At 39.0% G+C, this 15,657-nt stretch overlaps 1 protein-coding gene across 2 annotated transcripts in view; it reads left to right on the top strand.

Annotated features, from left to right (window-relative positions):
* Positions 1-15,657, top strand: part of ZFR (zinc finger RNA binding protein) — a 90,391-nt gene that overhangs the window by 13,103 nt on the left and 61,631 nt on the right. For both annotated transcript variants that reach the window (NR_144318.2, NM_016107.5), the window contains exons 3-4: positions 11,535-11,817; positions 13,846-13,990. Coding sequence is in view for 1 of the 2 variants with exons in the window: in NM_016107.5 (NP_057191.2) it covers positions 11,535-11,817; positions 13,846-13,990 (428 nt within the window). In the remaining variant the exon portion in view is untranslated. The remainder of the gene's footprint in view (positions 1-11,534; positions 11,818-13,845; positions 13,991-15,657) is intronic.

Genomic DNA, 15,657 nt, shown 5'->3' with positions numbered 1-15,657 from the left:
TTTCATGTGCCATGAAAGAGAAAGAAATGTTGTATCTATCAATTACTTTGCTGTTTTACCCAAAATTGAAACATGCACACACACAGTATGTTTTCTAAGGTACGAAAAGCACATTTAATGTGAATAACAGAAGCTGTCTATGTTTTCTTTAGATTTTTCCCACTTCATTCTTTATAACTGCAGAAATACAATATTCTGTTTCCACCTGGTAGTGGTTCCTCTAGAAATTTAACATGAATATTTCACTTAGTCTAAAGTTAGTCATTAGTTTTATTCCCCTAACCAATAGACTTAAAATATTTTAAACTTGATCAGTCCTCCTGATTTTGTGTTCTTGTTATATGATAGCTCAGATTTTTTTAACCCCGTGACCAATTACTGTTGGACACAATTACTTGTTTTATATGGTCAATGATTATTTAAGTTTACCTTCATATTTACCACTCTTTTTGCTCAACATTCATTCATTCTGAGATCATTTTTATTCTTTCTAAAGTAAATCTTTGAGAATTTCCATTAGCGTGGGTCTAAAAAAACAGGTTTTCCTCTTGCTTTCGTTTTTTGAGACAGGGTCTCACTGTGTTGCCCAGGCTGGAGTGCAGTGGTGCAATTTCAGCTCACTGCACCTTCAACCTCCCGGGCTCAAGCAGTCCTCCCACCTCAGCCCCCTGAGTAGCTAGGATTACAGGCACGCCACCATGCCTGGCTAATTTTTGTATTTTTTAGTAGAGACAGAGTTTCACTGTGATGCCCAGGCTGGTCTCAAACTCCTGGACTCAAGAGATCTGCCTGCAATAGCCTCCCAAAGTGCTGGGATTACAGGTGTGAGGCACCACAATCAGCCTGAGAGTTTTTTGGGTTTTTTTTCTTCATCTTAAAATATCTTTGATTCTACCTCCTTGAGTAGTCATCACTTAATCTCTGTAGGCAGTTTTTTCCCTCTGGCTGCTCATAAGAGTTTTTCTTTATCTTTCATGTTTACAGTTTCACTTAGATATATCTTACTGTGAATTCTTCTTTACTAGGGTTTCTTGGGACTCCTGAATCTGAACATTGTTATCTTTCATTAATTTTAGGGAATCTCTTGACATTTTTTTTCTATATTCTTTCCTAGTCTTTCTCTCCATTTGTAATTCCAATTAGATGTAAGTTAACCACTTTTTATTTTATCTTCCAAGTATTTTAATCTCTTTAATGTTTTTCATCTCTTCCTCTCTCTCTGTGCATTCTGGGTAATTTTTACAGATAATTTTCTCATTCACCAGTTTATTGCCAGCCATGTTTAATTAGTTATGCAATAACCTTTCTGAGTTCCTGACTATAAATTTGTCAGATGATTTAGTTTTAAAAGTTCATTTGGTTGTTTTTGACCCATCTTGTTCCTTAGTCTTAGTTTTGACAATCTCTTTTACTTCAAGTGTGCTTAAACATTTTGTATCCAATAATTCTAATGCCTGTGGTCTCAAAAAAATTTTTTTCTTTTAATTCTGTACACTTTTGCTTATATTAGTGTATTTCCCTTGGGTTTTATCGTGATTTTTTTTTTTTTTTTTTTTTTGAAATAGGGTCTCACTCTGTCACCCAGGCTACATCCCAGGCAACATCACCCAGGATTGCGGTGGTGCAGTTGTAGCTCACAGCAGCCTCAACCTCCTGGGTTCAAGCAGTCCTCCTGCCTCAGCCTTCAGGACCCCACCATACCTGGCTAATTAAAACAAAAAAAAATTTTTTTTTAAAGGCAGGGCCTCCCTTTATTACCCAGCCTAGTGTCAAACTCCTAGCCTCAAGTGATTCTCCCCCTTTGACCTCCCAAAATGCCAGGATTACAAGCATGAGCTACTGCGCCTGGCCTCTTAAGATTTTTTTGATTGAGGTTTCCTGTTTGTTGGAATGTTATTTGCAGCATTTACAGAAGAATATGTGTTTTGTGTGACCTGGAAGCACTGTCAGCCTTGAGTTACAGAGGTTAAGTATTTTCGGGTTAGGCTTGCTCAACAGGTAAGTGTAATGCAAATATTCCAAAATCGGAAACTTCTGGTCCCATGCATTTCAGATAATAGATAGTCAGTCTGAATTAAACTAACTTCTTGGTTGGGAATTTGCCTGGTCAGATAATGTGAATTCTAGAGTCCAAACCTAGGGGAAGACTGTCTTGTGCCTAAGAACTGTCAGGAAAGTATTTTCTCTTCTTTACCCACACCTGGCTAATTTTTGTATTTTTTAGTGGAGACAGGGTTTCACCATGTCTTGTGCCTAAGAACTGTCAGGAAAGTCTTTTCTCTTCTTTACCCAGAGCAAGACTGATATAGGAAAAAGTTTCCTTACAGTTCTCCCTTAAAAGATGGAAGAAGAGGCCAGACGCAGTGGCTCAAGCCTGTAATCCCAGCGCTTTGGGAGGCCAAGCCGGGCAGATCACGAGGTCAGGAGATCGAGACCATCCTGGCTAACACGGTGAAACCCCGTCTCTACTAAAAACACAAAAAAATTAGCCGGGCGTGGTGGCGGGCTCCTGTAGTCCCAGCTACTCGGGAGGCTGAGGCAGGAGAATGGCGTGAACCCGGGAGGTGGAGCTTGCAGCTAGCCGAGATCACGCCACTGCACTCCAGCCTGGGCGACAGAGCAAGACTCCGTCTCAAAAAAAAAAAAAAAAAAAAAAAAAAAAGATGTAAGAAGACTTTTTTCTAATTCACCTACTGTGGTGGTTCGTTTGGTAGCCCCAAAGTTGTGAGCTGTTGCTTTCCAATTCTTCCATGTCTCTGCTAACACGGAAAGTGATATTTGTGCAGTAGCTTGCTGTGTAAGCTGAGAGATTGGAGCCTTGAATAAGGGATATTGCAGCTGCAGGCAACAGAATCGGGGCCTCCCTCAGGCCACTCATGCACTGTGCATTCTCCCTGAGAACTAACACCAACATCTGGTGGGACGCTCTGCTTTTATACTACTCAAAGTGTGGTAGGCAGACTGGTGCTGCTCTGTGACTTCTCTTGTTACTGCCTCATAAAAGGTATTTGTAGGATGATGTAAGTCAACCAACTGCTAAACGTACTATAATTGTTTGTTTTTAGACAGAGTCTTCCTCTTCACTCAGGTTGAAGTGTAGTGGTGCAGTCACAGCTCACTGAAGTCTCGAACTCCTCCTAGGCTCAAGTGATCCTCCTGTCTCAGCCTCTTGAGTAGCTGGGACTATAGGCATGTACCTACAGGCTAGACTAATTTCTTTTTTTTTGAGACAGACTCTCTCTGTTGTCCAGGCTGGAGTGCAGTGGCATGATCTCGGCTCACTGCAACCTCCGCCTCCTTGGTTCAAGCGATTCTCCTGCCTCAGCCCCCTGAGTAGCTGGGACTACAGGCATGTGCCACCACGCCTGGCTAATTTTTGTATTTTTAGTAGAGACAGGGTTTCACCATGTTGGCCAGACTGGTCTCGAACTCCTGACTTCAGGTGATCTGCCCACCTCGGCCTCCCACAGTGCCACACAGAGTCGCTGCACTCAGCCACACAGAGGTTTTTAATTTTGGTGTAGTCTCATTTGTCTAATTTTTTGCCTGTGCTTTTGATGTCACATCCAATAAATCATTGCCAAATTTCATGTCATGAAGCTTTTTTCCTTTGTGTTTTCTACTAAGAGTTGTATAGTTTTAGCTGTTACATTTAGATCTTTCATCCATTTTGAGTTAATTTTTGTATATTTTGTAAGGTGAAGCTCCAGCTTTTTTCCTTTTCGTGTGGATATCCAGTTTTCCTAACACCATTTGTTGAGAAGACAACGCACTGAATGGTCTTGGCATCCTTGTCAAAAATTATTTGACTGTATATGCAAGGCTATATATCTGGGTCCTCTATTCTATTTCATTGGTCTATATGTCTGTATGCCAGCACTATACTGTTTTGATTATCATAGTTTGAAATTAGCAAGTGTGAGACTTCCAACTTTGTTCTAATATTTTAAGGTTGTTTTGCTATTAGGGATCTCTTGAGATTCCACAGGAATTTTAGGATAGATTTCTTTTCTGGCAAAAAAAAATCACTGGGATTTTTATAGGAATTTCACTGAATTTTTAGATCACTTTGGGTAGTATTAACATCTTAACAATAGTTTGCCTTCTAATCCGTGAACATGGGATGTCTTTCCATTTATTTGTGTCTTTAAATCTTTCAGCAGTGTTTTGTAGTTTTTAATACACACGTTTTTCACCTTCTTGGCTAGGTTTATTCGTAAGGTTGTTTTCTTTTCTTTTCCTTTTTTTTTTTTTTTTTTTTTTGAGACAGAGTCTTGCTGTGTTGCCCAGACTGGCACGATCACGGCCACCTGCAGCCCTGACCTCCTGGGCTCAGGTGATCCCAGCCACCCAAGTAGCTGGGACTACATGCACGTGTCATCATGCGCCACTAATTGTTTTTTGTATTTTTCGTACAGATGAGGTCTCACTATATTGTCCTCCCAGCTTAGCCTCTGAAAGTGCTAGGATTACAGGCTTGAGCCAGCCACAGTGCCTGGCCCGAGTTTTTTATTCTTTTTGACGCTATTGTAAGTGGAATTGTTTTCTTAATTGCCTGTTTATTGTTAACATATAGGAATGCAACTGATTTTTGTATCCTGTAACTTTGCTTATTTCCTTTATTAGTTCTAACAGTTTTTTGTGGAGTGTTTAGTGTTTTCCATGTATAAAATGATGTCATCTGTGAACAGATGGCTTGATCTTTTTCAATTAGGATGCTTTTTTTTTTTTTTCAGAAAGAGTGTTTCTTTGTCATCCAGGCTGGAGTGCCGTGGCACAATCTCAGCTCACTGCAACCTCCGCCCCCTGGGTTTTCAAGCAATTCCCGTGCTTCAGCCTCCCAAGTAGCTGGGGCTACAGGCACATGCCAGCATGTATGGCTAATTTATTGTAGTTTTATTAGAGACAGGGTTTCACTGTGTTGGCCAGGCTGGTCTCGAACTCCTGGGCTGAAGTGATCCACCTGCCTTGGCCTCCCAAAGTGCTGTGATTACAGGTGTGAGCCACCAGCACCTGGCCTAATTTGGATGCCTTTTATTTTTCCTGCCATATTGCTTTGGCTGGAACTTAAGTACTGTGTTGAATAGAAGCAGTAAAAGCATGCAGCTTTGTCTTCTTCCTGATCTTAGAGGAAAAGCTTTCAGTGTGTCATCGAGTGTGAGGTTAGCTATGGGCTTTTCATAGTTTTTATTATATTGAGGTTATTTCCTTCAATTCCTAGTTGGTTGAGGTTTTTTTTTTTCTTTTTTTAATCATAAAAGGATGTTGACTCTTGTCAAATGCTATTGAGATGATCGCTTGGGTTTTGTCTTCCATTTTATTAATGTGTATTACATTGATTTATATGTTGAACTTGTCACCGTATTTTAAACTGTTAAAGAAAACACAAATGTTGTAGAGAGTAGATGTGATGGTTAAGAGCACATACACACTGGGGCCACACTGCTTAGGTTCTGGCTTTTACTCTGCCACTTACTAGTGATTTCATATCTTGGGTTTAGATTAAACAATTTTCTGCTAGGTTTCTATTAATTATAAACCTTATTTTACTGTAATTAGTAGTTTTTATTAATGAATTAAGCAATTTCATTTTCCTGTTGCGTGACAGAAACTTTTTGCATAAAGGGATAATAAATAGAGACCAAGGAAATAAATGGTGAATAACCATTACAGACTCAAGTTAATGGTCTGCATCATGAAATGAAGATTCTCAAACTTTTGGGTTTCAGGATTCCTGTAGCACTTCTAATTATTCAGAACCCCAGAGTTTTTGTTTATTTGGGTTATATTGGTATTTACTATATTAGAATTAGGCTGGGCACGGTGGCTCATGCCTGTAATCCCAGCACTTTGGGAGGCCAAGGCGGGTGGATCACCTGAGGTCAGGAGTTTGAGACCAGCCTGGCCAACATGGTGAAACCGTGTCTCTACTAAAAATACAAAAATTAGCCAGAAGGTGGCAGCTGCCTGTAATCCCAGCTACTCGGGTGGCTGAGGCAGGGAAAACTGCTTGACCTAGGAGGCGGAGGTTGCAGTGAGCCGAGATTGTGCCACTGCACTCCAGCCTGGGCAACAGAGTGAGACTCCGACTCAAAAAGAAAGAGTAAAAGTATTACACATTAACCAAAAATATGCTTATGAAAAATTAGTTTCAAAAACAGTGAGATGAGAGGCATTGTTTTACATTTTTACAAATCTTTTTAATGTCTTAAATTAAGAATATTCTAAAATTTGCTTTTGCATTCAGACTGTTGCAGTAAATTATTTGGATTAAAATATATGAAGGCAGCCTGGCCTCACACCAGTGTGTAATTAAAAAGAGAACAACCTTGTGTGGACCTCCTGAAAGGGTCTCAGGAACCCTTAGGGGAGTCCCTGGATCACATTGAGAACCACTGTTGTATACAAATTAAAAACTCCCCAGAGACCTTTAAAGCATTCTGGTTTTATTTCTTTTGGTGCTAAGCTCCACATCACTGAATAGTATTCCTCTTTTGCTATTTTGTAACTTATCAACTTTATGCATATATTTTTATTTCCTACAATCACAGTTTAGGACTGTATTGCATATGCTCTCTTCTCATTTCTCCTCTTCCCAAATTCAGACTATTTCTGTTAATTTAGAGAGTATACTCCATTTCTAGTTCCATCAAAGCTAGACAGTATATGAGTACTCTGTAGTTTTTAAAAATTCTTGAAACTCTTGTGTTTCACTCCTTCTCTTTCCCTACTTCACTCCCCAAACTTAATGTATACTCTTATTTATGATAACGTTTACATTATATTCTGTAATCATAGTTTATCTTCTCTAATTTAGATTGATTCTAAAACTTTAAAGCAAAAACTGTTTTATCTTATCAATAGTATTTATTGTGGAGCCTAGTACCATTCTATGATTATGATTTCTAATGTGTTCCATTTTACAATCCTGTACCGCTTATTAGAAAATCTTCCTAGGCTCAAGTTCAAATGGATTTTTTCCTCTTTTATACCATACTGATTGCTCACCTATAAAGTCTTTTATTGGGATCATGCCTTTCTTGAGCAGTTTACATTTCCTGAATTCATTCATTACCTTTTTTCTTTTTCTTTTTTTTTTTTTTTTGAGACGGAGTCTCGCTCTTTCACCCAGGTGAGACTGCAGTGGCGCGCGATCTCGGCTCACTGCAAGCTCCGCCTTCTGGGCTCACGCCATTCTCCTGACTCAACCTCCCGAGTAGCCGGGACTACAGGTGCCCGCCACTGCGCCCAGCTAATGTTTTGTATTTTTAATAGAGACGGGCTTTCACCGTGGTCTCTATCTCCTGACCTCGTGATCCACCCACCTCGGCCTCCCAAAGTGCTGGGATTACAGGCGTGAGCCACCACGCCCAGCCTACCTTTTTTTCTTAATCATGTTGTCATTTCTTAAAATTTGTCTAGGCTCCCTGTCTACTGGCTCTGTGCCGAGTCCTCTGTTTTTCTGGATATCTTTCTCTGAGAGGCTTCTGTCCTTCCCCTAATTCCAATCTATACTCACTTCTCTCTGGGCCTGCTGCCACCACAGCTGCTGACCTAGGCTTTCATCTGTTTGCAGGATCCCATGTTTTCTTGGTTTACTTTTTGTTTTAGCTGGAATATATCTTCATGTAGCTTCCTAAGAAAAGGTTGTAGTAGGTAAACTCCTTCCATCCTTGAGTGGTTAAAAAATCTTTATTCTGCCTCCATAGTTTGGCTGGGTACAAAATTCTACATTAGTAATCATTTTCCCTTGAATTTTGAAGATAATACCTTATCTTCTTGCTTTAGTGTTACCAGTAAGAAGTCTAGTTTTCATTTAGTTGCAGGTGCCCAGTTTTTCCCTCTCTGGAGACAGGATCTTTTTGTCTTGAAAAGTAAAATGCTATGTCTCTAGGTTTGTTTTTTTCACTCTGTTTTGCTCTCTGTGAGCTTTTTGAATTTGAAAACGTGGTTCACGTCAGGAGTGGGAAATTTTATTTCTTAATTTTTTTGATCTTTTTTCTTTTCTGTCATTCCTTCAGGCAGGACATTGGGCCTTCTAGACTTATCCTTTCTTTTGTATTTTTCATATATTTATCTTGTCTATTTCTCAACTTTATCTTCTCTTCTAGGTAGTATAAAGTTCTTGTTTTATAGATACAAATTAGAGTTTTTGAAAATTCTCATCTGTGGCCTTCATATGTTCATTTCCCACATGGTCATTCTTACTTGTTTTGCAGTTTATAGTAGGCTTTCTTCAGACATGTGGTGATTTGTGTTGTCTGTTCATTTTTTAAAAATTTTTTTAAATTTAAAAAAAATTTTTTTTGAGACAGGGGTCTCACTCTGTTGCTCAGGCTTGCAGTGGTATGATCTCAGCTCACTGCAACCTCTGCCTCCTGGGCTCAAGTGATCCTCCTGTCTCAGCCACCCAAATACCTGAGACTACAGATGCATGCCACGACACGCGGCTAATTTTTGTGTTTTTTGTAGTGATGGAGTCTCACTATGTTGCCAAGTCTGGTCTCAAACTCAAGATCCAGCCTTCTTGGCCTCCCAAAGTGCTGGGATTACAGGTATTCCGTGCCCAGCTTGACTGTTATTTTTTTAAGCAGTAAGATTGCCTGGAAGTCTTGAAAGTCTTATTTTTTGTAGTGAGTCCCTGGCTCACTTTTTGTTGTTGTTGATAAGTAGGTAAGGAGCTGGCCATTTCTTGAGTAAGAATATAGAGTGTGTGTACTCTGTAATAATTGCTTACGTGCTTTCTTTTCCTGTTTCTCCTCAGGGAAAGTACTCTTCCATTTATGTCTGATGCTTGAAGTGTTTCTTGGCTTCCTTTTTTTTTTTTTTTTTTTTTTTTGAGACAGGTTTTACTCTGTCATCCAGGCTGGAGTGCAGTGGCACAATCATGGTTCACCGTAGCCTCAACCTCCTCTGCTCAAGCGATCCTCCCACCTCAGCCTCCTGACTAGCTGGGACTACAGGCACACACTACCATGTGTGGCTAATTTTTAAAAAATTTTCTGTAGAGATGTGGTCTTTCTACGTTGCCCAGGCTGGTCTCAAACTCCTGACTTCAAGCAGTCCTGCTGCCTTGGCCTCCCAAAGTGCTGGGATTACTGGTGTGAGCCACCATGCCCAGCCTTCCTCATGCTTTTGGTAGAAGATATGGTTCCAGTCCAGATGATGGTTAGAGACCTGGCTATACAGAGCAGAGTTAGACAATGCCAGGGATGTGTAAATAGCAATTGCTAAATCTGCTGGCATCTTTTTCATATTTCATCTTTTCCTGGGACTGGTGACTGTATAATTTATTGTTCAAACTGAGACATGTAGGAGAGTGAAAAGTACTAAAAGTAATAATTACACCGGCAGTAGGCATTAACCAGAACATATGGTCATTCCTTCTTGAGTCTCATGGACATTTAGGGTGACGATCAGAGGCAGTATAAGTTAAATTGGCTTCCTGGTTGACTCAACATTCCCATCCTATTCCCACCTGCTTTTTGTCTAATAGGACATGTTTTGGGGACAAATACTAGATAAGGAGCAGTGGGATGAATAGAAACAGTCTTTTATATAACCAAAATTACTCTTAGGTGGTTTAGTCTGGATGTATTTAATCTTATCCTGTTAGTAAATGTTAAATACAAGTTTCACAGACCTGTTGTATTTGTATTTTAAATAGTATCTTTTTTTTCAGTTCCAGGAATTTTGGAAAAGTATGACCTGTTACTGGCATTTTCTTACAGATATGGAGTTGTTCCTAGAAAATGTTATTCCCAAACAAGTTTTTCACTGTTTTAATGTAAACTTTTCCTGTCATATTGGCATATATGTAGAAAATGTTAGTTTTATATCAAAATATGGAAACCTCATCCAGATAGAAATTCTATGAGTTTCTTTGGACTCTGTTCTAAGTTTTTTTTGTTTTTTGTTTTTTGTTTTCTTTTTCATATTGGACTGAAATCTGCCACCCTGTAACTTCCAACTATTGGTTCTAGTTCTGTTCTCTGGAGCAGCATGGAGTAAGTGTCTTCTATTAGAAGGCATCTGTCACCTTTTCTAGACTGAATTTCTCCAGGTGTCCTCCCCTTTTTATATGAAATTAAAACCCATATCTCTGACCTTCACATTGATTCCCTTTGGAATCTTACAATCTAATATGAACTTCCTAGTTTATCAGTGTTTTCCCTAATACAGTTAAAATATGATAGCCCCAAATTTTAATTTAATTCTATACTATATTTCTATGTTACTATGCACACCAGTACAGAATACCTTGTACTATAGACCATTAATCAGAGACTGAGTTAATTAGTGCAGCTTCAACATTTTTTTTTTCTTTCTCTTAGCTATTCTTAGTTGTTGGCTCATACTAAAATGTGGTCAGCTAAAACCTATCAGCTAAATAACTGTTGGGGCTCTTCTTTTTTTAGTAGGTGTTTCTGCCTTAGTAATGTGGCTTTACCTTGTGGAATTGAGTGTATTATTCAGAAAACCTAGAACAAGAAATACACTTTTATATGCTAACATCTGTAGGCCTTTGGTTTTAGTGATATAGGCTTTCAGTTTAAAAGTTAAAATAAACATATTCCTGTAAGAACTTTAGCTAGAAATTCATTTGATTGCTGTTTTGGAAAATGTTTTTGTCTCTTTGAGGTTTAAATGTTTTTAATTGCAAAGCATCTGATTTGTGTCTTCTTTTACAAAACATGCTATTATATATTTAAAAGTAACTTTGTATAATGAAATGCTCCCTGTAAGCTGGAAAATGTATCTAAAATAATAGATATTCCATTGTAGGTTTTGTACCCTGGAACAGAACTTCTCAACCCTCAGCACTATTGACATACTTTAAATAATTCTTTGTTATGCACGGCTGTCCTGTGCATTGTAGGATTTGTAACAGCATCCCTGGCCTCTATCCACTGGATGCCAGTAGCTCACATATCACCACCTCCTCTGCAGTTTGGTCATCAAAAATATATGCAGATATGGCCATATGTCCCCTGGGGGAAAAATTCCCCCAGTTGAATACCAACTGTCCTAAAGCAACAGAAGTATTTTTTAATCAGCTGGTCAGTAGTTTCTACCTTAAATTTCTTTCTGTAATTGGGCTAGAATAGAATATTTTTCTTATGGTTTCTTTGTAGAGATTTGTAAAACTGTACAACATAATAAAGAACTTCACATGTAACTAACACTAAAGTTCCTAATTTGGTCAGTTTTTTCTTTTCTTCCTAATACTGTTTTTTATCCTAGTTTTTAATTCCTGTTATGTGATACAATCTATGATCTGAAACGTGTGACTATATAATGTATTGAGATTAAAGAATGAAAATTTAAAAAAAAAAGAATGAAAATTACAGAACAGTAATAAATATGATATTGAATAGGAAGTTTATTGAGTTCAAGTACTTGACCTTTTGTGGTCCGTCATTAAATTACTTGAAAATGTGCTTTTTATTTCAGTTGAATAGCTTTTAATTGAAGTTGGTTAACTCCTGGATATTAAAATTGTATTATATTTATTCTTGTACTCCACAATGTAGCCAGCAGCCAGCTTCGGGTGTAGCCTATTCTCATCCAACTACAGTTGCTAGCTACACTGTCCATCAGGCTCCAGTAGCTGCTCACACAGTTACTGCTGCCTATGCACCAGCAGCCGCCACAGTTGCAGTTGCCAGGCCTGCTCCAGTAGCTGTTGCAGCTGCTGCAACAGCTGCTGCTTATGGAGGCTACCCCACTGCACACACAGCAACTGACTATGGTTATACTCAGAGGCAACAAGAAGCACCACCACCACCACCCCCAGCTACTACACAAAACTACCAGGTAAGAAAACTACTAGTTTTGGTAGCCTGAATGTGCGGGTTTCTTTGTCTTCAGTGTATAATGTAATGCCCTAGCCATTGCTTCTCAAACTTGGGGCTTCCAAAATACACATGTACTGATAGAGAAAAGTAAATGAGTATTCCTTGGTAGTTTGGGACATACCAACCATTAAGGTTCCTTGCCGGCTGGGCGCGGTGGCTCATGCCTGTAATCCCAGCACTTTGAGAGGCCAAGGTGGGTGGATCACCTGAGGTCAGGAGTTCAAGACCAGCGTGTCCAACATGGCGAAACCCCGTCTCTGCTAAAAATACAAAAATTAGCTGGGTGCAGTGGTGCGCACCTGTAGTCCCAGCTACTCAGGAGGCTGAGGCACGAGAATCACTTGAATCCAGGAGGCAGAGGCTGCAGTGAGCCAGGATTATGCCATTGCATTCCAGCCTGGGTGACAGAGCGAGACCCTGTCTCAAGAAAAAAAAAAATTCCTTGCAATGAGCTTTGTATTAATAATCCTTCCTCTCACCCCCCGTCCATTTGACTCTATTATTTATAGCTGTCTGTTAAAAACTTTCACATTAATTGCTAGTTAAATATTTCATTGTTTACCCCAAGTTTGTTTGTTTGTTATTGTTTTAACTGAAGACATAGAAAAGACTTCCCTTGTTTGTACTAGAGCATTATTCATCTGGAACACAGGTATGTCTCCTATTTTGAGAATATTTTGAGAGCAGGACAAACATATTACATATTTTCTTCTTGAAACTTAGCAAAGGTGGAAATTCTGTCCCCTTTACATTTATCCTGTCAAGATGTTCTTTTTTAATACATATTATAACAAAAATTGATCATGCCCTTATTCATCCAGTTGCCTCTTACTCAGTCTTATAGGAATTCTACATTCTCCTTATTATGTTTGAAAACAGTGCTAGATTACTACTTGCTTATTTAAATTAAATTTGGTCCTAATTTCTTTAATCTGTTTTTTTGCTTATTTGCTTTTAGGATCTGTTTTTTAAACTTTGGTCCTTCTGAACTTTCCCTGGTTTTGCTATATTCTTTCTAAAGCATAGAAATTTATGCAGTAAAAAATTGAAATGTAAATCAACAATATTAGTATTTGCTATTAATTTTAGGCAGGTTACTAAATGAAATTCCTTTTGAGGTGTGATTATTTATGCCCAGAGACAGAATATAATAAATTTTGTTGTTTTTAATAGTGTCTGTGAAACCCAGTGTTTTCTGGGCCCTACCTGCTACTTCAGCCATTTCACCTACATACCTTTCTACCCCTCTTTACTTCATGGACTGCCAGAATTCACTCAGCTCACCTTGATCTTTCTTGAAAAAGAAATACTGAAAAGGAGCAATTACAAAGTTTAGTAACACAAGTGTTCTTTTGTAATATTGTAGGATCCATCTTTAAGGCAAAACTTCTGTGACTTTTTTAATAAAATTAATTTTTACTTAAGTATTATTTAGAAATGTTTTGGTGATTGTTCTGATTGTAAAAGTTCAACATGCTGCTTGAAATGCTTTTGATTTTTTTTTTTTCTTTTTTTTTTTTGAGGCAGAATCTCTCTCTGTCGCCCAGGCTGGAGTGCAGTGGCGCAATCTTGGCTCACTGCAACCTCCGCCTCCCGGGTTCATGCCATTCTCCTGCCTCAGCCTCCCGAGTAGCTGGGACTACAGGTGCCTGCCACCATGCCCGGCTAATTTTTTGTATTTTTAGTAGAGACGGGGTCTCACCGTGTTAGCCAGGATGGTCTTTATCTGCTTACCTCATGATCCGCCCGGCTTGGCCTCCCAAAGTGCTGGGATTACAGGCGTGAGCCACCGCACCCAGCCTTGATATTATTTTAATGAAGTACAAAATGAATCTTCTGTGTATTTAATTTGATTCTTTTATGTTTAGGTCTGTCATGAAACTACGTATTTAGTGTTTTGTTTTCCTTTATTGCACTTCTATACAGTAAGTATTTTTTTCCTTCCACTTGTCTCATAGCAAGATTTTCTTTCATTCCTTTTCTTTAGGATTCATACTCATATGTAAGGTCCACAGCTCCTGCTGTAGCTTATGATAGTAAGCAATACTACCAACAACCAACAGCAACTGCTGCTGCTGTAGCTGCCGCTGCCCAACCTCAGCCTTCTGTTGCTGAAACTTACTATCAGACAGGTGGGTTTTCTTAACCTACAGAGTTTCTTTGTAAACTATTGAAGTATATGACTTACTGCGTTTAATGAAGATAAGCTTTTGAGTCCATCTAAACTCATATCACATCATCTTAGGAGGCAGGTTCTAGACCTGTCCTACTAAATGCCTTGGAGTCACAATTCATAATCATGCCTTTCTCTCCTGGAAATGTACTCCATTTCTGGACTTTCAGCCCACAGTCCATTCCTGCTGAAATAAGCTGTGCAAAAGAACCTGTGATGATAACTTCTGAACACATTTTTATCTTTGCCAGAAATGCCCAGAACATATGATACTGCCAACAAACAGCCTTTGTAACCAGTGGAGACCCTTTAATGGGCCCATATTTTTAATTAATCTTTCTCTGATCGCTAATGACAGTTGGTTCTGTTATCAGCCACCAATCATGTTAAATACAGTATGTAGAATGGTTCAAATCTAGGAAGCATTTCGTTTGCAAAGAAACCTGTATATTTACAGACTTTAAAAGATGGATTTTTTTTTTTTTAGAGAGAGACTTGATAATTTTTAAAACAAAGCTTTTGAAAAGTGGGCAGTTCTTGGGGTGGGGGGAGGGAAAGCACTAGGAGATACACCTAATGTAAATGACAAGTTAATGGGTGCAGCACACTAACATGACACATGTATACATATGTAACAAACCTGCATGTTGTGCACATGTACCCTAGAACTTAAAGTATAATAAAAAAAAAAAGAAAAAAAATGGGCACTTCCTTTAATTATTTTTGAAGGGTGTGAGGGTGTGGGTAGAGCGTTGGATTGTAAGAGAGTAGAATTGGCTTCCAGTACTGGCTTTATTGCTAATGTGGGCAAGTGATTTTTTACCTCTCTTATCTCTGTTCTCTTACCTGTAAATGAGGTAGTTGACCCAAATTTCAGTAGGGCCCCTTCTAGTTGTAAGATTTTATGAGTCCCTTAAAAGTGGTTTTAACATGTTTTGAATTATAGTGACTATCTGACTATTCCTGTGGTCTCTTCTCTTTTTTTTTTTTTTGAGACGGAGTTTCACTCTTGTCGCCCAGGCTGGAGTGCAATGGTGCAATCTTGGCTCACCGCAACCTCCACCTCCTGGATTCAAGCGATTCTCCTGCCTCAGCCTCTCAAGTAGCTGGGATTACAGGCATGCGCCACCATGCCCAGCTAATTCTGTATTTTTAGTAGAGACAGGGTTTCTCCATGTTGGTTGGGCTGGCCTTGAACTCCTAACCTCAGGTGATCTGCCCGCTTCGGCCTCCCAAAGTGCTGGGATTACAGGCGTGAGCCACCATGCCCAGCCTTGTGGTCTCTTCTCTATTGATTTCCGTGTATAATAATTTATAGTAAACTTCCTGTTTAATTACCAAGCTTAGGTTGTGCTTGAGTGCTAAATTATCTAAGAGAAGATCTTGATTTAGTCTAACTCTGGTATTGCTGTGACTTGTGTAAGTTGTTTAGCTCTTGGATATTAGTCTCATCTCTGTAAAGTATTATCTTTTTGTGTTACATGGATCAAATTTCATAAGCAGATAAGTTCTACTTGAGTGGCTGAGGTGGGAGGATCACTTGAGTCCAGGAGTTTGAGGTTGCAGTGAGCCATGATCACACCATCATACTTCAGCCTGGGCAACAGAGTGGGACCCTGTCTCAAA

Source organism: Homo sapiens, chromosome 5 (assembly GCF_000001405.40).
Source record: "Homo sapiens chromosome 5, GRCh38.p14 Primary Assembly".
NCBI lineage: Eukaryota > Metazoa > Chordata > Mammalia > Primates > Hominidae > Homo > Homo sapiens.
Note: the sequence above shows the minus strand (reverse complement) of the source record. Positions and strands in the feature narration are given on the sequence as shown.